Genomic DNA, 22,169 nt, shown 5'->3' on the forward strand with positions numbered 1-22,169 from the left:
CCTCCCCCAGCCTTGGGCAGATGGCTTCATAGTGCACTTGGCATAGTGACTTCTCTAAAGCCCAAACTGTATCACATCATCTCTTGCTGAGGACCCTTCCATGATTCCGCACGGCCCTCAAGATAACTCCAGCCAGTGCATCAACTCCACAACCCTCCGGGCCATTAAACGTGCTGTCCCATCAGCCTAAGGGCACCTCTTCTCTCCCCTGGCCCTCCACCTGCCCCTCTTCAACAGGCTACCTCCCACTTTCCACTGGGGCTCAGCTCAGAAGTTCATTTCTTCCAGAAAACCTGTCCTGAATCTCCCAAGTGGACATTTGTGTCTGGCTTCTGTCCTCCCATGGTGCTAAGAATTCAGCCTCGCACTGGGGACATTCTCTCACTGCTCTGCGATCACCCATTTGCCCACCAGTCTCCTCCTAAGAATGTAAATTCCTAGAGGACAGACTGCCTGTCTACCACAGAGCTGCCTCTAGCACCCTGCCTTGGTTCTGGCACGCTGTGAGTGCCAAATCACATTTATCAGCTGAATGGATGAATAAAAAGCAGCCAGGGTCTTGGGAGGGCTGGCCTGGCTGGGTGCCACAGCTGTGTCTTGTCTTGGCTCCTCAGCAAGTGGGAGGTGGAGAAGGGTGTAGCTGTGGCCATTTGTGAATCATGCTTCAGAGTTCTTAACTATGTAGGGAGTGACAATTCACTGTCACATGACATCAGTACTGTTCCTTCTTTCCCAGGTATATGGCTCTCCTGGAGACGATCCTGCACTTATGCTATGAGAAGCAGCTTATTAGACTAGCAAGTTGGCATATGTCTGCGAGTCCTGGGTCTGAAACAAATGGGGGTCAAGAGAAGCTTGCATTTATTAAGAACAGAAAAATATGATGCACAGAATATAGATGACCCTTGGACAAGGGATATAATTCTTTAGAGTCCACAGTTGTTTTTTTCCCAACACAGTATTTGGAAAATTCTGAGATACAGGATAATGGAATGAACTTGGATTCCAGAAAAAAAAAAAAACACCTGGGGGCTGATAAAAGAGTGAGTTTGCAAAATTCTATCACCAGACAGCCTGCTTTCAGATGATGTGGACTTCGTAACCCAAGGCTTCCTTCCTCCTCCTCTGCCGGCAGGCTGATTCCTGCTTACCACCCTGTGACGGTAGCAACGCCAGCAGGAAGGAGTCAAGGAGGAAATGCAGTGGAGAGAAGAGAGCCCGTTAGTGGATCTGGGCTAAATCCCAATTCTACCATTTATCAGCAGTGAGACTCCTCACTTCTTTGAGCCTCATTTTTCTCATGTAAATGGGGATAACTATTCTTTCCTCAGACCTGTGAGACTTAAGGGCGATAATAAATGCAGTCATTGGTACAGAAGTACTGTAGCTCCCCCTTAACTGCAGTTTTGCTTTCTGTGGTTTCGGTTCCTCAAGGTCAACCATGGTCTGAAAATATTAAATGGGAAATTCTAGAAATAAACAGTAAGTTTTAAATTGTGCACCATTCTGAGCAGCGTGATGAAACCTTGCACTGACCTGCGCCATCCCACCTGAGTTGCGAATCATTCCTTAGGCCAGCATAGCCGCAGTGTAGACACTCCCCACCCATCTGTCATTTAGTAGCTGTCTCCATTATCAGATCAACTATCAGTGTCACACTGCTTGTGTTCAAGTAACCCTTATGGCATGTAATAAAAGCCCCAAAGTGCAACATTAATGATGCTGACATATTGTTATAATTGTTCTATTAATATTTTATTAGTTGTTAATCTTTTACTGTGCCTAATTTATAAATTAAACTTCAACACAGGTATGTATGTATAGGGGAAAACGTAGAATATATAAGGGTTCAGTATTACCTGTGGTTTCAGGCATCTATGGGGGATTTTGGATCATATCACCTGTGGATAAAGGGGGCCCTATTATACCAATAAACCAACAAATGAGGGCTGCCGTGTGACAGAGGATTAGACGAAGGAGGTGAGAACAGTATCAGTGGACAACTGCAGAGATCACCCCTCTGATGTGACTGTGATATGTGAAAAGGTTCAACTATTACATAAAGTGAGATTTGGTATTTCTAAAATGTAGACCTGGTTTCATTACACTCAAAATGTCACCTTCTTAGATACCTACGAATGGCCTGCATTTCCTATGCAAATACAAGAACTGAGGCAGCAGGGCGGTGAGGTGTGGCCAGTGGTCACTGGGCAGTCACTGGGCAGTCACTGAGCCTAAGGGTGTCCCCAAGCCACTCCGGCCCTACCTTGCCAGGTTTGTCTTTGCTGCCGCTGCTGGTGGAGCTGAGGGATCGCATCCGCTGCTCCTTCTGCTCCTCCACCTCGGACTTCAGGTGCTCAATGTGCACCAGGTAGGCCTGCTCCTGGGCCTCCCGCGTGCTCAGCTTCAGCTCCAGGGCCTTCTTCTCTTTCTCCAGTAGGTAGAGCTGGGCCTTCAACTCGGCCATCTCCTCCTACAGACAAAGGAGCACAGAGCACATGAGGCATGCCCTATCTGAGAGCAGGCCTGGCTGCTGCCAAGTGGGTGGGTGGGGGGTCCCCGGCTATGACCCACAGGCCCATGGTAGAGTTCTCACTTTGAAGTTGGCAGTAGGATGAGTGGGAGGAGACGTGGCACCTGTCACCACACTTCTAAAGGAATGACGTATGGACAAGGCCATGCACTTTGTCAGTCTATGGACTAGACCTGAGACAGAAGGGTAGAAGTTACAGGCAAGATTGTGGTTCAATATAGGGAAAACCTTTCTAACAAATAGAGCCCCCACTCAGGCACATGGGCCTTGATGGAAACCCATTCTCTGGTCTGCAGAGGCTGAGCTGCACCTGCCAGAGGCTGTAAAGTCACCTATCCATGGAAGGCCTCTTCTGGCCAAGCCCCTTCCAATTCCCATTTTGGTTTCCATGGCACCAACCACATGTTTAATCACACCCACGGCACCTCTGTTGCCCTGTAGCTGGGCCAGGCATGCGGCGAATGCCTGCAGCAGCATCAACCTCCAGCTCTTGCCTACTTCTCAGGGCCCAAATGAAATCAATAGAAACAGCATCCTTCACAGGTGACTGCTCATCAGACAACTTCTAAAAGTATCCTAAGAACTCAAATGAGAGCGATGAGTGGAGAATACGAAGTGAATCCAAAATAGGACAGTGCCATCCTGGGACCAGGAGCCAGTAACAATGACAGCCAGTAGCCTTTACTGAGCACGTGGCACTGTGCTAAGTGTTCACATGACGTGGCTCATTTCATCTTCCCAACCTGGGTTAGGTATTGCAACTATCTCCATTGACAGATGGGAAACTGAGGCACACAGAAGGAAATCCCCCTGCTTATGGCTACTGGGTAAGCTGTGGAGCCACAGATTGCAGCCAAGCTGTCTGGTTCAGAGCTATACTGCCTCCCTCCCTTTCAAGGTGAGCCCACGCATGACTCTTGTCCCCGCACTTCTGCTGGAGAGTAACTCCACCAGCCCATGGCCACCAGGTCCAGCCTTCCCAGCCCACCGTGAGATGGACTCACCTGAGGTTAGTTCAGATTCTCACAACCCCCGAAGTCACCCTTCTGAGGTAATAAACCACAGGCCTGGTGCACTCTCCTGGGTAAGTTGGACTAGGGGGTAGATGTTTTCACTCTCAAATGTGGGGAAATGGGTAGAGGACACCCCTCGAAAGGGACATTAGTCAATATGCTCAGTAAACTACTCAGAACATGCCAACCTTCTTTACCCTAAATATCAGACATAAAAGCCAGAATGAAAGGTGTGCCACGCCCAGAGCCTTCGGATCTTTTGCCATTGGAAGCAGGATTCTGAAGGTTCTGGCAACACTGCATACTGAGCTAATGTGATGGTCGCTTCCAGAACAAACATATAAGTGCAGGCTTGAAAGAGGGAAAGAGAAACCTATGGGTGCCAGAAATGAAGAGGGAACTCTGCCAGAGAGAACGGCAAGGAGGGCAGGTGCTGGCCAGCAAGGCGTCAGACTGTCCTCAGGCCCTCCACCCGGGGGCTTAACATTACCCAAGGCCAGGGCCGTGGCCTCTGAGGCAGAGAGCCACAGCTCAGACCCCTACGGGAGCAGGATTCTCATCAGGCTGCCCATAAGACACTAGGAAACTTCCTTTCTGGAGATGTGACAAGTAAACTTGTCATCTCTCAGGCTCTGTGTGGGAAAAGAAAGAAAAATCTCTTTCCAGGAATTAAACCTCAAGCTTGTGTCATGTGTAGGTGTGGTACAGGAATCCAGAGCCAAGAACTTAATAACAACTAGTCCTAAACCTCAGAAACTGATGAGTCCCAACAGATCTAAACATAGAACCACTCTGTAGGGACATCTGCAACCCAGGATCCTCAGGGCCCCACGGAAGACAGTTTCCACAGAGGATGAGCTGGTGCTTGCATTCTCTCCCCCTACCCCCACCACCGAGGAAATGAGAATGAATCAGCACTGACGAAGAATGAGCGGATGCAAAAAGTAAGAGTCAGCATTTACAAGAAGCAGAAATAACAATGTGCAAAACTAGAAAATAAAGATTTAAAACAAAGTGATACAGGAGTCATAATGAAGGGATAAGATGTTCAAAAAGGAAGAGAAGGCCAGGCCTGGTGCCTCACATCTGTAATCCCAGCACTTTGGGAGGTTGACCTGGGTGGATGACTTGAGCCCAGGAGTTTGAGACTGGCCTGGGCAACAAAGTGAGACCCTGTTTCTACAAAAAAATAAACTTAAAAAGTCAGCTGGGTAGGGCAGTGCATTCCTGTAGTCCCGGCTACTCGGGAGGCTGAGGCAGGAGGATCACTTCCAGCCCAAGGGCGAGGCTATAGTGAGCCATGACTGTGTCACTGCACTCCAGCCTGGGTAACACAGTGAGACCCTGTTTCAAAACAACAAACAAACAAACAAACAACAACAAAAAGAAGAATGGATTTGAAAAGGAACCAAGCACATCATCTAGAAATGAAAAGGTATTACAAAAACAGAAATTTGAATTTCTCAGCAGTTGGATCCTAGAAACTGGTGAAAATCCAACGTAACCTGCTGGATAATGGATTTGGTATGGGTGAGCACACATCCCCAAGCAGACTGGGAGGGACTCAGAGGAAAAGGGGACGGCTCTGATATTTAGCCTTCAAGAAAGTCATAGGGAACCAAGCCAGAATGCTAGCAATGGCTGCCCTGGATCATGATATTATGGATTGTTCTCCTCCCAGCTTTTCTACTTTTTTAGAAAATTTCTAAGATCAGTACACATTTTATTTTCAAGTGGCAAAGGGAGTATTAGAACTTTTATTCCAACAAAAATGTCTTTCTTAGGTAGAATACCAGTAAATTTATCACCCCACGTTGGCCAATTTTAAAAAGGAAATCCTTAGTCTTTGGCCAAAAGAAACACAATGTTTGGAACAAATGATGGAAGGGTGGCCTCATAGCTCGTGCCACAGGCTGCAAGCATCTGCAAACAGGGCTCCCAGTTGGGGGAAAAGTCGCTACAATGATGGACCCAAGTCTAGCTCATAAGCAATGAGAGGTGGAATCAGCCAAAGCAGCATGAGGATTCTCTACAGAGAGGTCAGGATGGGAGCTGCGTGGCTTGATGAAGATGAGCCAGTTTGGAAATCATGGGGGTGGGGGTGGGAGGTAAGATTCCTGTATCTGTTACCACTGCCTAGTGTCTTCCCAAACTTCGCCCAGATTCTAGCTCAAGAAGCTCCCAAGGACAGGGCTGTGCTGAGTGAGTCACCCCTGAGGGTGTCAGGATGGCTGCTGTTGCCAGCTCCCCTCCACTCTCCAGAGATGGTGCGACCAGGGGGTTGTTTTTCTCCCTGCTGCGGACAGTACTGATCCTAATAGGAGCCATTAACTCTGCACTGCCACGACCTGCTCTGGCTTGCTAGACTCCAGTTCCTGACCGGTCCTAAACTCAATCTCTGGCTCTCTTCCCCTCCCCGGAGGTCAGGTGGCTGAAAGTCCCAATCCTCCAACACACGCCTGGTCCTTCTGGTGACCAGCCCACATTCTGAAGCTGTCTAGGGCCCACCATAAGTCACCTCATCAGCATCACAAAGACACCCCTAGCTCAGCAAGAAACTCCAAGGGTTTCTCAAACTCTGTCCCAAAACCAAGGACAAATATCAGATATGGTCTTATTTATACCACAGCTGCCTTGTAAGAGCAGGTACCAGGTGAAGGGCTGGTGCCTGGCATTCCACACCAGAAACAGGCAAAGTGATGTCTTGTTGTAGGTATGGCGGTTTAACTACTTCCCAGTAGGGGACACCAGCTTTCCAAGAAAGCTCCCTTCTGTAGAAATACCAGCAGGTAGGTATCTCCACTAGCAGCTGAAGGGCCCAGTGTTTCAGATCCACTGAAACACTGACCTCAACAGCACTGTACACCTTCACTGGAGGGCACTATGGTCTGAGCAGGCTCGACATTGCACCAAAGGTACAGGGTGTCAGGAAACTAGGGCTCTCGGCCAAACTCTACAACTGGCCTCACCCTGTTCTCCCCCTGCCGGAGTTAACATCAGCATCAGCAACCCAAGACATATTTCCAAGCATTCTTGAGATTAGGGGTCAATTTAGATGGACAGAGGCTCCACCCTGCAGAGGTCTGACCTGGCTTCTCTTAGAGGATGAAGGGCTCCAAAGTTGGGCTGGGACACCCTGAGAAATCCCTTAGAAATTCAACTCCCCTGTCCAGAAACACGCAGCCCAAGTGACCCCCAGACATAGTGAAACCAGCTCTGTCTATAAACAAGGGTCTAGCTCTTCTCTGGGCAGGAGGGGTTGATTCCTCCTTATCTGCTGGACCTGCTTTCAGAGGTTGTTTAGATTTCCTCCTGGTGGCAGCCTAGCACATGGGACCCACCCACCACATACCTTCATGGCCATGAGCTCCTGCATAAGCACTGCGTTTTCCAGATCCAGCCTCTGGCTGTCTCCCCGAGGCTTGACGTCATAGCTGAGAGGATCGATGTGGATGCTTTCCAGCTCCAGCATGGTCAGCTTGACCGCAGCCCTGTCATTCTTGAGCTGCTGGATATAATCCTTCAGCCTCTGCTCGTCTTCTTTAGTGAACTCGGTGTCGCAACTACTGGCTGTGGAGCTGGTTGTGCTGAGAAAGAAGAAAAACAAAGACCCACCACCCTGTGTTATTCCAAGTCATGGCAAATAGATCTTTCCTCCTCACTCTTCTCCACATTCCCTCTCCCCAGTGTTATTTAGATGGTAATCCAAAAATCAGTTTTCTTCACAGCATAGGAAAATGATACCACCTTTTAGGAAAGAATTAAGTATGAAGAATAACAAATGCTTACACTCCTTGACGCAACACTGTGGACTCTAGAAATGAATTTCTAAGGAAATAATTCCACAGAAGCAAAAAGATACACATACAAAGGAACATAATCTAAAATACAGTTTAGTGATTTATCACACCTATCAAAAGGAGGGAAATCATGTGGACATTACAGTGATAATTGTAATAAGTGAAATTATAGTGATATCGACAATGGTGGTGATATTTTGAGGACATAGGTTAAAAGATATTATATATGTAATAAAAAAGATACTCATGTGGTCAGAACTTAAAAAAGGTATATTTAAGGCAACAAAAGTTGAAGCACAAAACTCCTATGGCATGATCCACAGATGCGTGTCACACCCTCGCACGTGTACGCAGGTGTCCCAGGCTGTGGCAGCCGTCCCTGCGGAGCAGCACCGAAGGGGGCTGTTTTGCTGTGTTTACTTCTGTTGTTTGCAACATGTACCATGAAAAACACAGGGGTGCACAACACAGCAATAACCACTTTGGGAGTAGGGTACCCCCTGGCCTTCACAGGATAGTCTGAGTATAGTGTTCACTATAGGGACTCGGGCTGGCCCAAGGGCCCTTGGCAGCCCAAGGTGAATGGTGACCAGGCAGGGAGCCCCCAGCTGAACCCCAGGCCTGTGGCAGCCCAGGAAGGTTTCTAGGGGACCAAACCACCATGAAAGGGGGAGCACCACTGGAAAACGGAGGCCACGGCTTTCAAGTGGGCTCTGGCCTTTTCCAGCAGTGGGCAGGCTGCTCCCCGTGCCTCCGAATAAGGCCCACTCCACTCGGTTGAGGACTCTGAGGCCAGTGTGCACCGACAGCAGTTTCTCTGCACTTGCACTGGGCCTCCCTAGGGGTGACTCGCCCCTCATGGAACTGGTCTGAAGATGGCAGAGGAAAAAGCAGAGGCCTACTGACCTTGCATCAAAACAGGCCAGGCTGTGTTGTCATGTCTGTTGCTACAGATTTGGAAAGTGAAGCTCAGAGACATCAAGTGGTCAGCCGAGTCATGCGACTGGAAAGAGGTGCAACTAGACTTGGGCCGCAGCCTCGTCCCACAGCCCTGTCCTTGTCCCCAGAATCCTGTAGCTAGAAGCTATACCAGGGGCCACGAGTGATCTCCACAGGCCGCCAGATGCCACAAACCCAGGCCTGCCCTCCTCATCTCACACTGCAAAAGGGTAAGAGCCAGGACCCCAACTCAGTAGCTGTAGTCCCCACAGCCTAGACATGAGTGAGGGCAGGCCCACTCTTGTACATGACACATTGCTACGAAGACAAGGCTTCCGGGGAGAGAAAAGCTGAAGAGAGATGGTGGCTGGAGCTTTGCTGTTCACAGGAGGAAGAGGCTACCCTAGGGCTTGGGGTGGTCTTCAAGTCAGAGAACCCCTTCTAGAATGGGAAACTCCTGAGCACTAGAAACCCTTTGGGGCTGCGTCTCACTCCCTCTGTACCATCAGGACGGGTGGGAAGTCCCTTGGAGATAAGGTAAGCTAGATCAGCCTGACCATTAAACACCATCTCTTCAGAGGCTATGCCCAGTAAGTTCCCACGTCAGCTGGGCTGGGCTATGTGCGCAGTTGCTTGGTCAACCACCAGATTAGGCATTGCTGCGAAGGTGTTTGTTACATGTGATTACCATTAAAATCAAGAGACTACAGGGAGACTGTTTCCATACAGTGAGTGAACCTCGTCTAATCAGAGAGGCCTTAAGGGGAAAGACAGGTCCCCCAAAAGGGAAAAAATTCTTCCTCCAGACAGCTTTCAGACTCAGGATGGCAACATCAACTCTTCCCTGGGTCTCTAGCCTGACCTGCAGACTTCAGATTTGCCAGCTCCATTATCAAATGGGCCAATTCCTTAAAATAAATCACTGTTTGCGATTTACTAGAATCTATATCAAGAGATCGATCTTGATCTTTCTATCTAGGTATAGATGTCTCCATATAGACCCACCTCCTATTGGTTCTGATTCTCTGCAATGCCCTAAGAGCAAAGTGCTACCTTTACGTGTGACCCAAGCGTCTTACATACTTTGAATATTCCCTGTCTTCTCATCTCTAAAATGAAGGTAATCATAGTACCTGCTTCATAAAGTCAGGGTAAGGAATAAATGAGGTAAAATTAGAAGTGTTTGTAATAGCAAAGACATGGAATCAACCTAAATGCCCATCAGTGGTAGACTAGATAGAGAAAATGTGGCACATATATACCACGAATACTATGTAGCCATAAAAAAAGAATGAGGTCATGTCATTTGCAGAAACATGGATGAAGCGGGAGGCCATTATCCTTAGCAAACTAATGTGGGAACAGAAAACCAAATACCACATGTTCTTACTTATAAGTTGGAGCTAAATGATGAGAACACATGAACACAAAGAGGGGAACAACAAACAATGGGCCTACTTGAGGGTACAGAATAGCAGAAGGGAGAGGATCGGAAAAAATGACTAATGCATACGAAGCTTAATACCTGGGTGACAAAATAATTTATACAACAAACCTCCATGACATGAGTTTACCTATGTAACAACCGTCCACATGTACCCCTGAACTTAAAATAAAAGTAAAAAAAAAATAGAAATGTTTACAACAGTGCCCAGCACATAGTAAGCACTCAATAAATGCAGAAGTCATCATTCATTTATTCAAGAAATATTGGAGTGCCTACTATGGGGTCCTGGAAAAATCCCTGCCCTCAGGGAACTCATATTCTAATAGAGTAGGCCAGGAAGTGAAATACACAGTCCATGAGATGGTGAAAAATGAAGCAGGGAAGAGGCGTGGGGAATGCAGAGTGGGCATGAGGTTATTATTTGTGATTGAGCTGCAGGGAAGGCCTGTGTGATCCAGTGACATCAGGGTGGACCTAAGGGAGGCGAGAGAGGGAGCTACGTGGATGTTTGCAGGACACAGTAAATGCAATCTAGGCAGGGAGTGCGGCCAGCAGAACGAGATGGTGACTGAAGCAGTCAGGCAGGGGAGAGAAAGAAGGAGAAGTGGTCAGAGAGGGAGTGCGTGGGAGGGGCTGGGTGCCAGGTCATGCAGCATTTTATAAGGGCTGTGTCTTTTTCTCTAGGATTAGGATGGAGGCCATTGGGGGTTTTAACAGGGAGGGATGTGGTCTGCTTTATTGTTACAACAGGATCCATCTGGCCTCTAGGATGAGTAGAGATGCAGGGAGGCCAGGGCAGAGGCAGGGGTGCACCTTGGGAGCTACAGCAACAATTCCAGGGAGAGATGGTAGCAGCTTGGAGCAAGGTGGGAGCAGGGAAGGCAGGGAGAAAGATAAAAATGACTACTGATCATCAGCATTATGTTTTCTCAAGCTGTATTTTAAAAATGAGAGGGGAGAAGCAGCAACATCCTGCAGCTGGAACACCACGGGCTATTCCACAGTGAAATGAGGCAGCTCAAGGGAACTGCAAAGAGAGCAAAGCGCGCCCACAGCAGAGGGCACTGAGGACCCCGGCTGTGCATCAGAGGACGCATCCAAAGGACCCTCAGCATCTCAGCGAAGGCCTGTCTGCCTGCAACCTGCTCAGCGGCAGGCATGCCTCGTACAAAACCCCCAAGTAGAGCTCAGGAGCTCACCTTCACAAATCATCAACACTGATGTGGAGGGACAGACATCTAATGTTCCACAGGCGAACGCGCGACAAAATTAGAGCAAACTCAAGTACTGGCACTGTTTGCAAAGCATTCTACAGACAGGGCTGAGGGTGGAGATGTGCTCACAGCCTCGACATGTTTAGACAGCGTGGCGCTGGCAGACAGCAGCACTTCTCTTCCAGTTACTTGGGAGGTTTCAGGAATGAAATCCTTCCTTGTAAACCTGGGACACAGGGTGTGGGGTTTACTTACACCTCTAGTCTTTCCTTTCATTAAAAATTATTTTGAAAACTTTCAAACCTATAGAAAAACAAAGAATAACCAACAGCTGTGCGTCTACCACCCACAAGACACTGAGGTATATTTTCTTCAGACTACTTTTTGGGAAATATAAATTTATACTTGAAACACTTTTTGTTGACTTTCATTTAAAATAAAAATCACAAAATTCAAAGAGTGGTAAAAGCTAGCATTCTCTAATTACCCTGCAGGAACTGAAGTGATACTATTTTGGCAGATTTTCCATTTAGCAGGACTGGTCCACCCCAGCAGTTTTCCAAGAGGGGTCCCGGGCTGGCCGCATCAGCAGCACCTGGGGACTTGTTAGAAATGCACATTCCGGGGCCTGCTGTCAAGACCTCCACAGTCAGGAACTCTGGAGGTGGAGCCCAGCAATCTGTGTTTTAATATACCCTCTAGGTGACTCTGATGCACGCTTAGGTGTGAGAAGCACTGGTCTCCCCCTCAGGCTAAGTGGGCATTTGCTCAGGAGCCTGTGAGGTGACTGGATGCTCCTAGGTTTTCTAGGTAGAGGCCACAATGCTCCTGGCTGCCCTGGTGGGTGTCAGGGTCTACGAGCAGGTCTCTGATGTCAGTCAAACCTGGATAAATGTTCCTCCTCTGCCACTTCCTTGCTTTATGGCCCAGAGTAAATTACCCAATGTTTCTGGGCTGCAGGAAATAGGAATACTAAGGGTTCCTGCCTCACTAAGTTGTGGAAAGGATACGGCAGGCCCTGAAGCAGGCAGCTGGTGCTGCCACACAGCACCTGTCCTGTGGGAGTAAGAGAGAAGGTGGCCACTTTCCTGATGGCTTTGCCAACAGCCCCACAACACCTAACACCAGACTCAGAGATGCCCTGAGCTATTGGCCACCAGCAGGTCATCCAGAATCCCTCCATCCCAGGGAGAACGAAAGCTGCCAGTGGTTGAATGGACTTGAGAAATCACCTAGCCCTAACACGAACGCAGGCAGGCAGAGACTGACAGGCGCTGCCACCCTTAGGGCCCGGAGCCTCATCCATGGCAGGCAGGGAAGGCTTTTGTTTCACCCACCTTGCTATGAGTATAGTTTTCAAAGAGGAAGGAAATAAAAAAAAAAAATAACAAAAGATCTCAGTCCACAGATCTTACCCTGTTGGAAGCACAGAGCTTTAAAATGCTTTTAGTGGAGAAAGTTTAATTTCAAGATAAACCTCACAGCCCCTCCGGCTTCCCTTCTCCTGCTTCCAGGACAGCAGCGGGGAACAGATCAGGCGAGGTTAATTACAATTCTGCTTTGAGCTCTTAACGTTTCACTGCGGAATATGATTATGACAATGGTAGGGGAGGGGAAGCCACTGGCCTTTTCTCTGGCCTCACAGACAAAGGCGCTGGCGGTCTCCCAAGGGCCTGCTGCTGGCTGCTGGGCAAGGGTTAAGTCATCCATTAATTCTCCCAGCTTGGAATGCTGGATGATCTCAGTTGTCAAGGGGGAATCAATCACTTTCTGTGGCTGCATTATTCCTCCTCTCCAGAACAGGAGCCTGTCTGTGTTCTCTGAGAGCGACTGTGGGGGAAGGCTAATGACAAAAACCCTCGCCACACATGTGTGTCTTGCTCTGGCTTCTTGAGGAGCTAGTCTAGGATGTGTGGGTTTCTCCTTTCCGTGATGCTCTGCTGGAGCTCCCGTCACGCTGGCTTTCCTCTGCATCTGTTCATTGCCAGCAGCTCTTCCAGCACAAAGCATACACAGCAGGCCTGTAGCCTGGTGGGAATGCGGGGCTGGCTGGTTCGGGACGGTTCGGGCCGACCCACTCTCCACCTACCCTGTCCACTATAGGAGAAGCTGTTCAAACCAGCTATCGACGTCAAATATCCTCTCTTCTATCCCTCTCCACCATGCCCCACCTCTGTCCTCAAGACAGTCCCCCAGCCTGCTCATTAGAAGAAAAATTCATTTTTCATAGCCTCCTCAGCTTGCCTTGGTGGAAGGCTAGAAGGACATTTCATTTCTTTTGCCTTGAAAATCCGTGATGACATTTTCCTGAAGTTTTCATCAACATCTTACCTGGCCCTAGCTGAGATCTCATTTCCATCAAGGAGCAGCTCTTTTTGTTTGTTTGTTTGTTTGTTTGTTTGAGACAGAGTCTCACTCTGTTGCCCACACTGGAGTGCAATAGCATGATTTGGCTCACCACAGCCTCCGCCTCCTGGGTTCAAGCAATTCTCCTGCCTCAGCCTCCTGAGTAGCTGGGACTACAGGCATGTACCACCATGCCTGGCTAAATTTTGTATTTTTAATAGCAACAGGATTTCACTATGTTGTCCAGGGTGGTCTCAAACTCCTGACCTCATGATCTGCCCGCCTCAGCCTCCCAAAGTGCTGGGATTACAGGTGTGAGTCACTGCGCCCGGCCTAGCAGCTCATTTTTAGAAGGAAAGTGCCCTGGGGGTGGGCATCTGTTTTGCTGAGCATTTGAAATTTATCTGAATGAGTGGGGTCAGTCCAATGTCCTTTCCAGTGAGAGTCCTAGAATGGAGAACTTTACCATCCTATGCATTTTGCAATGCTGGCATTTTAATTGCTTAGTTTTACAACAAACATACAGTTCTTTTGAAATCAAGAAGTTAGATCTCACTAGAAAAAAAACCATAAAAAGCATTCCATGTCTATACCTTGTTCTCATAGAACCTAAAAGGTAAGTGATGAGGACATTTGAGCAGGAGGACTGATCATAATGCTGTCATGTCAAGGATGTGTCGGGGCTGGTCTCTAGAGCTCACTAACACCAGTAAGCGTTTGTCTCAAGGACTTTGGATAGACTCTCCTGACACACAGATGGAAAAGCACCTCTCCTCAGTAAAGATGACTGTTTCAGCCAGATCTAGTCTGACTCTCATTCCCTGAAGCTTACTGATGCCTGTTCTAACTAGGTGGCTGTTTCAAAAAATTCACCCTTTCAATGGACATGATTTCACTCTCCTCAACCATTTTTTCTGCCCCAATGAAACTTTACCTTAATCCAGACTAGTTCAAAGAGTGAGAGCTAGGCATCTCTTGAGCTCTGCTGCTGTCCAGTCCAACTTGGGGATTACACCCCAGAGTGAGTGGCCACACAGGCAGCACCCTGGCTACCTGGAGGTACCTAGAGGCTCACGGCAAGGCTGCAACCACCATTCTCACAGCTCTCCAGGGTCCCCACCTGGTGCTGAGACAAGGGACTCAATTTCAGTCTCTGAGAGTACAGACTTGCTGTGGCCGATCCTGTCTTGGCCACAGTTCCTTTGTGGATTGAGATCGATGACTACGCTGCACAGAAGGAGCTGAACTGTGAGGCCTGCCACAGAGGGTGGGCTTGACCAAGGATTCCTATTTCCACTTCCTAACATTTTAGTCCTTGTGCCTCTTTGTCATGATATGTTGATAAAGCCATCCAGGCAATCAACCTAGTCACTCTGTCCATAAGACTATTATACTTTCTGATGAGGCCATGGCTATATTTTTCAAAAATGAAGTGGCACCGACCCTGGGCACCTGCCAACAGTCAACTGAGGGTTGGCTATCACTTTTATTCTCCTTGCTGGTTAACTACCCCTCTGCTGCTCCTCTCTAAAACCATTAACCCTCCTGTCGTTAGGAGCTGCCTATGGGCTGCCAGAAATGCCGCTGGAGGCACAATACTCAGCGTTTCTTTCCTGAACCCTTGAGGGGCAGTTGATGGACACTCTGATTAGACCTCTTGAAGCTGGGTGGTTACAGCGGGGGGAAAGGAGATTTGCTGGGCCACATAAAGCTCCAACTCAGAAAGATCCTTTTCTTTATTTTCATAAACTTGACAAGGGGGAATGTCTGAGCCAGAATGGCAAGATTTACAAACAAAATTACTATAATTATCATAATTATGAAAGGGGTCTGGTGCTTTGGGACTTTATTCTAAACCCACGTTTAACATAAAGCAGTCTAATTGCATCAGGTTCTAAGAATGTGGAGTGACAAATGAATGCCTCGTGTGTGGTTCTTCCATCCTCGGAGCTGCTCTGATTTGGGCGGGAGGGTAAAAGTGATTTTTTAAGGAGAATTGGGTGACATTGGAGCTAAAGACCTCTGTACTTTGATGGGAAGATCCATTTGAGACTGAAATTAATTTAAGAACCATTCTTTGGTGAGGTTATCCTTGGAAACAATGACTCTGTGTTTTGAATTTATCTCAATCTGCAGAAAAACAGGATCCCAAATTAAATTTCTCTAAGAAAACAGTCTCAAAATCAAGGCTAACCTGTAAGTTCAAGTACTTCTAACAAATATTCAAAAGCTAAATAGATGGTGATAAAATTGTTCTCCCTCCTGACTGGTTCTAAATTTGTCTCTGATTCAGAATAAAACCACAACATTCTTTTTGGGGGTAGGGAGGTTTGAGCAAATGATCCGTAGCACAAACCTCATAAGCTACTGAAACAGCACACATTTCCTGTCAAGCAAACTCTTATGTTCACTAATAAAACAACACAGCATCACTGACAACATGAGAACTACATTTCTATACTAAATAAACACACAAATTATAGATTATACACATCTGGAAGAGTCATTAAGAAGAGCATCTGCTTTCTGTGTTTACACAGTAGAATATGGTTTTATGAAAAAAATTATAATCTGTGCTTCACTGAATGAGACAATTGTTGCTGAAGTAAAGAAGAATCAAGTCCCTTTTGTTTGTGGGCACCTGGCTGAGTGCATTACTGGGCATGTTCCCTCTCCTGGGACACCTGGGCCAGTAGAGGTAAATGGAAGCGCTAAGGTAGATGGCGGGTCCCACCAGGGGAGAAAGAGAGAGGGGAACATTAAGTTGCTTTCCAGCACCAAGAAAGCATCAGTATTTCTCCTCTGGCTCTCAACAGTCAATCTATCTTTATGCAGTTCTGGTCACTTAGTCTGCAAGTAGACACTGTTTTGTTATGTCATGAGATCCAATGTGGGAAGAACAATATGCTCGATGCTAAGATCCCGGGTTCCCATCCAGGTTTCCCTCTTATCACCAGGCAGGTCACTGACATTATCTCTGAGCCAAGGTTTCCTAACCTGTGAAAATGGAGTAAGTTACCCTTCCAAGTCTTTCACGATTTGGCAATTAAGTAAGAATCTCTAACAAAGTGTCTTCTAAACTGAGGACTGGTAAATAAAGGGAAGGCATTCGTGTTTTTAGGGCTTTGGTGGCAAGAAATGAGAAGGTAAGTAGAAAGGGTTTTGTTCTGACTCTCCACTCCCATCCAAAGAATGAAATGACTTCAGCAAATTATGCTCTGCAAGGTCTTCGCCGCTCTCTTCCTAGCTTCCTTTTTCAAGCACCCACTTTAATTTCCTAGATTCACAGACAGTGAACTTGACCTCAGGTTCATGACTGAGTGCCTGTAAGCATGTGCTGTGAATGTGGCATCATTCCATGAGGCAAAAGAGATGAGAGGAGAGGCTCTTGCCTGAGAAGAGCTTATAGACGATGGAGGCACAAGAAGACAGGAGAGTGATGTCTGGAACTAGGATGAGCTGGGCTGGGCCTTGGGACCAGAGGGACCATTTGGAGCAAACGGCTCTTGGCTACCCTAAGTGCTTCCTGGAAATGAAGACTTATAAAGAAATGGAGAACAGAACAATGCAGAGAAAATGGATCTGACAGAAAGGTAGGTTTGCATTCCATCTCTACCACTTTCCACAGCAAATCTCTCCAATCTCGACTGCAGTTTCCACATTGGCAAAGTGAGAGGGCCACTTTCTAGCTCTTCTGTTCTGATCTTCTGACTCCTTTTTGGATGGAGCAGGCTGCATGCCAGAAGCCATGTCTGCCTTTTCCCAAGCCACACAGTCCCCAAGAGCTGGGTCACTGCACACCAAGTCCAGTGAACAGATGCCATGTGGACACACGCCCACCCCAGAGCAGAAGGCTGAGCATTACCTGGTGTGGCTGTTGGAGGAAAGGCTCTCCCAGGGCTGCACGCTGCAGCCGGCCACGGCAAAGGCTCCCCCACAGCTGCCGTCCAGCTTCATGAGCAGGGCCTTGGCAGCGTTCTCAGCTGTCTTCCGGCAGTCATGAGCTCGCTTGAGCATCTGAGTGATGTTTTCATCCCCCGACTGGTCTCCTATGTGGCAGAGAAGCCAACGGATTAATCAACATAGGCCTGGACAAGGCACGCCTGGGAGGGACTATGCATAATTAACTCTGTTACTTAGGGCAGAGGTGGCACTGTGGAAGGGAATTGGCAGTGCCCAGCCGAAGAGAAGATCTGTGTTCTGGGCCTGGCACTATCACTTAGACGCTACATGTGGGAAGGTATTTCTCTGCTCTTTCTCTGGGCTCCACTGGCCTCAGGGACAAGTGTAGGAGTTAACCAATGGGATCACCACATTTCTGTTTCCAGCTCTAACACGCTCTGATTTTTCTAATGATCCAGGCTCCTGGCTTCTCCTCCCATTCAGCCACAAGTCTACCATTTGGCCATTCCTCTGTGCATTGGCACTTCCCTGTGAATGAGGGAGGGAGAAACTAGGGCAAAACTGTGCCATCTTTCCACATGTCTACAGCTTTGGTTAGAGCCCTGTGTGGGGGCAAGAGAGACAAAACTAATGGTTCAGACGAGAGCTTTAGATTGGCTCTGTATTATAGGTACCGATGCCACCCCTGACCCTTCTCTTGGCTTGGTAATCGGCGTGAACTCAAATGCCTCCAGGAGCCAGGTAAGTGGGCTAGTGCAGAACATCAGGGTGTGGTGGGCACTCGCACAGACCAGGCAGTGAAGTCCCTGCCCAAAATGTTCACATTCCTATTGTGATTTAAGACTGTGCTGGAAAAGACAGAACTATAGAGATATTGAAAAGATCATGGGTGGCTGAGCTGAGGTGGGAGGACTGCTTGAACTTAGGAGTTCAAATACAGCCTGGGTAACAGAGCAAGACCCTGTCTCCAAAACAACAACAAGAACAACAGCAACAGCAATGGTTGCCAGGGGATGGGGTTGGGGGAGGAATGAATAGGTGGAGCCAGAGAACTTTTGGGGCAGTGAAGCTACTCTGTATGATACTGTAACCGTGGACTCAAGTTGTTATACATTGGCCCAAACCCATAGAATGTACAGCACCAAGAATGAACTCTGATGTAAACTATGGGCTCTGGGTGATGATGTGTCACTGTAGGTTCATCACTTGTAACTAATATACTACCCTGGTGGGGGACGCTGAAAACGGGGGAGGCCGTGCATGTTGAGGGTTGGAGGCATATGGGAAATCTCTGTGCCTTCCTCTCAGTTTTGCTGTGAACCTAAAACTGCTCTAAAAAAACAAAGCCTTAAAAAAATAAAACAAAACAAAACAGAAACTGTGCTGGCTGAACAAATCACTGGTTTGCTACCTGTACAGCACAGATCCATGCTTTTCCAAATATTTTTAAATGAAATCTTACACCAAATCATAGAAAATGCTATCCTAACATACAAAAAAGGTAAATGCGGAATTGGATGAAGTGGGCAGAAGTGGGAGACACACTCAGAGTCCCACCCTCCAACCCCACTGCCGAGGCCCAGAGAAACTCCTCCAGCTTCCCAGACCAGTTTGAAAACCACTAGCCTAAAGCACCTGTGAATGAAAGAATGAACAGAATGAATGCCTGTGACATCAACAAGAAACAAAGAAAAGACCCACAATCATAGATACTGTGGGTGCATGTCACAAATGAGTTCCTGCTTTGCTGTGCAACAGCTCTATGGCATGATGGGTGGCATGATGGCACAGTATGATGGGCCAGCCACTCCTGTCAGCGGAATGCAAGGGCGAGGCTTAATGGGGAACTGCTAAAAATCAAGCCTGCCCTCAGTACTATGGAGAGTGGGCAGGAAATGGGGTGGACCCATTCTGCAGGCCAAAAATCCCTGGAACTCCCTCCTGTCATTTCTCTGACAAACTTCATGCCTCTCTTCTCTCCACAAATAAGACATTTTACATACATCTCACCACTGACTGCTATTTGGAATTAGGCATGACATTACTTACTGGCTCATATTATAAATGTATACATGAACTTCCCAGTATTAGGTAAATACAAAGCATTTCATTATTGATTTTGAATATTTAAAAGGCAGATTTATTTAAGCTCTTTCAGCTCCTACACCAAATAACTGCACTGAGTAGGTACATGCCTAATGAAAGGTACCTTGTGAGGCCTGAACAGGTTAAGACACTCCGCTGATAACCAACTGGAAATACGATTGACTTTTTCCTTTAATTTATCATTTTTCTTAATACGTATATTAATTTAAAAAAATCCTGACAGCAGGCCAAGATCATTTTAGGATCTGTTTCATATGAGAAATAAAGTTTTATGGTTCAGTTAAAAGACCCTGAAAAATGAGGTTTCTAATGGAAATGCTGGCAGAGTTTCTACTTCTGGGCTGGGCTGGTAATACTATTTAAAAAAAACCAGAGGGAGGATCAGAGCATCACTCTCCATACAAATGAAGGTGTGCTCCTTTGTTGGATTACTTGGATATGAAGCAGGAAATTAACACCCAGGATACCTTCCTTCCTTCACTTTTGCTTCAGATTCCTGTGCAAGTCGAAACTGAAGGAGGAAACACATGTGAGTGTTCAGTGCAAAAGTGAGCCCCCAGACAAAGGGGGAGGAGCGGGGAAGAAGGACAGGAAGGTGCATTCAGAAGGTGCCTGGATGGTGACTTTCTTTGAAGGGTGTGTCCTGGATGGACAAGTCCTAATGGAAGCTCACAGCAGAAATCCAGTCCATGACAGAGGCCTGGCTACCACACATGGGAATGCCTGGCCTGCCCACACCATCCATCTTTGGCTCTGGAGAGACCTGGTCACCTTGGCTTTCTGTTTACTTGCTATTGCCTCTCCGAAGGCTAAGGGGGTGTCCGGGGCTTAGTTCTGCATGGAGAGACGGCCACCTTTCTCCTTGGGTCTCTCTTTCCTCTTAGCACTGTTTCTACTGCAGTCCTCCCCACATCACTGCAGGCTCGGAGCCACAATCACTGGCCACGTTTTAGCAAATGCTGCCGCTTCCTAGAATGACATGCTTGTGTCCAATTAGATACTCCTTCCACCTTACTCAAAATTGAGGGACAGAAGTGAGCAGGCAGTGCAGATCTCGAGGTACAGGTCAGGCCAACAGGGCACAGGATCCCCGGGCTGGGGGAAGGACAGGCACAGGAAAGCGAGGTGGGCGAGCATTCTGTGATGCTGACAAGAGCAGGGGGTGAAACTACTTCTTCTTTGTTCGTAAGACACCTGGAGACCTGGCAGGGGAAACCCATGTTTCAAAACTACTCAAAAGCCGGGCGCAGTGGCTCACGCATGTAATCCCAGCACTTTGAGGCAGGTGGATCACCTGAGGTCAGGAGTTCAAGACCAGGCTGACCAACATGGTGAAACTGTCTCCACTAAAAATACAAAATTAGCCAGGCGTGGTGGCATGTGCCTGTAATCCCAGCTACTTGGGAGGCTGAGGCAGGAGGATGCTTGAACCTAGGAGGTGGAGGTTGCAGTGAGCCAAGATTGCACCATTGCACTCCAGCCTGGGCAACAAGAGCAAAACTCCATCTCAAAACAAACAAACAAAAAAAACAACTACTACTCAAAGAGGTAAACTTGGAGAAGCTCAGCCAATGGAACGAGATGAAGTGAAGGCCATGTGGCGGCAGCATGTGCCTTGACAACAGGCATCAGAGAGACAGCTGCAGAAACGCTGGCCCCTTTCATCGCTGATGCGGCCTCAGCTCCATCTGGCCCCACTGTCAGCCCAGGAGAATGCAGCTCCTAAGAAGTCTTGTTTGTTTTAACTTGTCTGTTATTCTGTTTCCACTCCAGTTCTTGCTGCATTCAACATAAACAATTTACCCATTCAGTCATGAGGAAAAACGAAAAACACACTTGACAACCAAATTTTGTGTTGTCGGGAGATGATTCAATGCCAGTTGCTGAGACAGGGGCAGAAGCAAAGGAGGCAGGGAGACAAGAGGAGGAAGAGGGACTCTGGAGACACTTACCAGGGGAGGACCCCACGCCCGCCGCTCGGAACTGCCCCAGGATGAGGCTCTGCTCACTCTCTGCCAGCGCCAGGAGGAGTTCGTAGGCTTCGATGCACTGCTCGCTGAAACAAAGCACATGGGGCCTCAGCCCTTGCAGAGAACAGCGGACACCTTCAATGTGGCGCCGGTTTCTGTGCAGGAGGCAGCTCAGGTGCTGTCTCGGCCTCACTCTCCACACAGGCAAGGAAACCACCCATGAATATTCCCAGGGCAGGGCCAGTGGCTTGCTCTTTCATTTGGCCTTTTTATTTTTAAACCTTTAACTTGGTTCTGGAAAAATACAAGAGAAACAATAAAGGTGGGAGAGGCAAATGTGTCGTCCCTTCAGTGACCACCTGAAAGGACCATGTGATTCCCTTGTGGTAGGCCACTCCAGGTAGTCCCGCTGAGCCGGCACCCTGGTGTCCACACCCTTGTGCTGTCCCCCATCTGCACTGTACCAGGGTTGGTCTGTGTGACAGAAGTGACAGTAGGTCATTTCCAAAATTAGCTTACTAAAAAACCCTGACTTCCATCTTGGTCACTCTCTCTCACTTCACTATCTTGGACCATCCTCCCCGGAGCAGGCCAGCTGTCGTGTCTTCAAGATTCTCAGGCAGCCCTATGGAGAGGTCCACATGGTGAGTAATGACTAAGGCCTCCAGCCAACAGCCAGGTGAGTGAGCCTTCTTAGAGCAGATCCTCCAATCCCCCACTGAGGTCTCAGATGATACAGCCCTGGCTGACAGCTTGACCAGAATCTCACAAGAGACCCTGAACCAGAACCACCTACTAAGCCACCCCCAGGTTCCTGATCCTTGAAACTGTGATGCAGTAAGTGATTAGTCATACAACAATAGGTAGCTGATATAACATCCCACAAGGAGATGATTTT

At 47.9% G+C, this 22,169-nt stretch overlaps 1 protein-coding gene across 2 annotated transcripts in view; it reads right to left on the reverse strand.

Annotated features, from left to right (window-relative positions):
• MCC (MCC regulator of Wnt signaling pathway) overlaps positions 1-22,169 on the reverse strand; it is a 466,348-nt gene that overhangs the window by 24,721 nt on the left and 419,458 nt on the right. For both annotated transcript variants that reach the window (NM_001085377.2, NM_002387.3), the window contains 4 exons: positions 21,254-21,357; positions 17,158-17,341; positions 6,899-7,133; positions 2,267-2,473 (listed from right to left, as the gene is read on the reverse strand). In NM_001085377.2, the coding sequence (NP_001078846.2) occupies positions 2,267-2,473; positions 6,899-7,133; positions 17,158-17,341; positions 21,254-21,357 (730 nt within the window). The remainder of the gene's footprint in view (positions 1-2,266; positions 2,474-6,898; positions 7,134-17,157; positions 17,342-21,253; positions 21,358-22,169) is intronic.

The sequence above is a fragment of the Homo sapiens genome, chromosome 5 (assembly GCF_000001405.40).
Source record: "Homo sapiens chromosome 5, GRCh38.p14 Primary Assembly".
Classification (NCBI taxonomy): domain Eukaryota; kingdom Metazoa; phylum Chordata; class Mammalia; order Primates; family Hominidae; genus Homo; species Homo sapiens.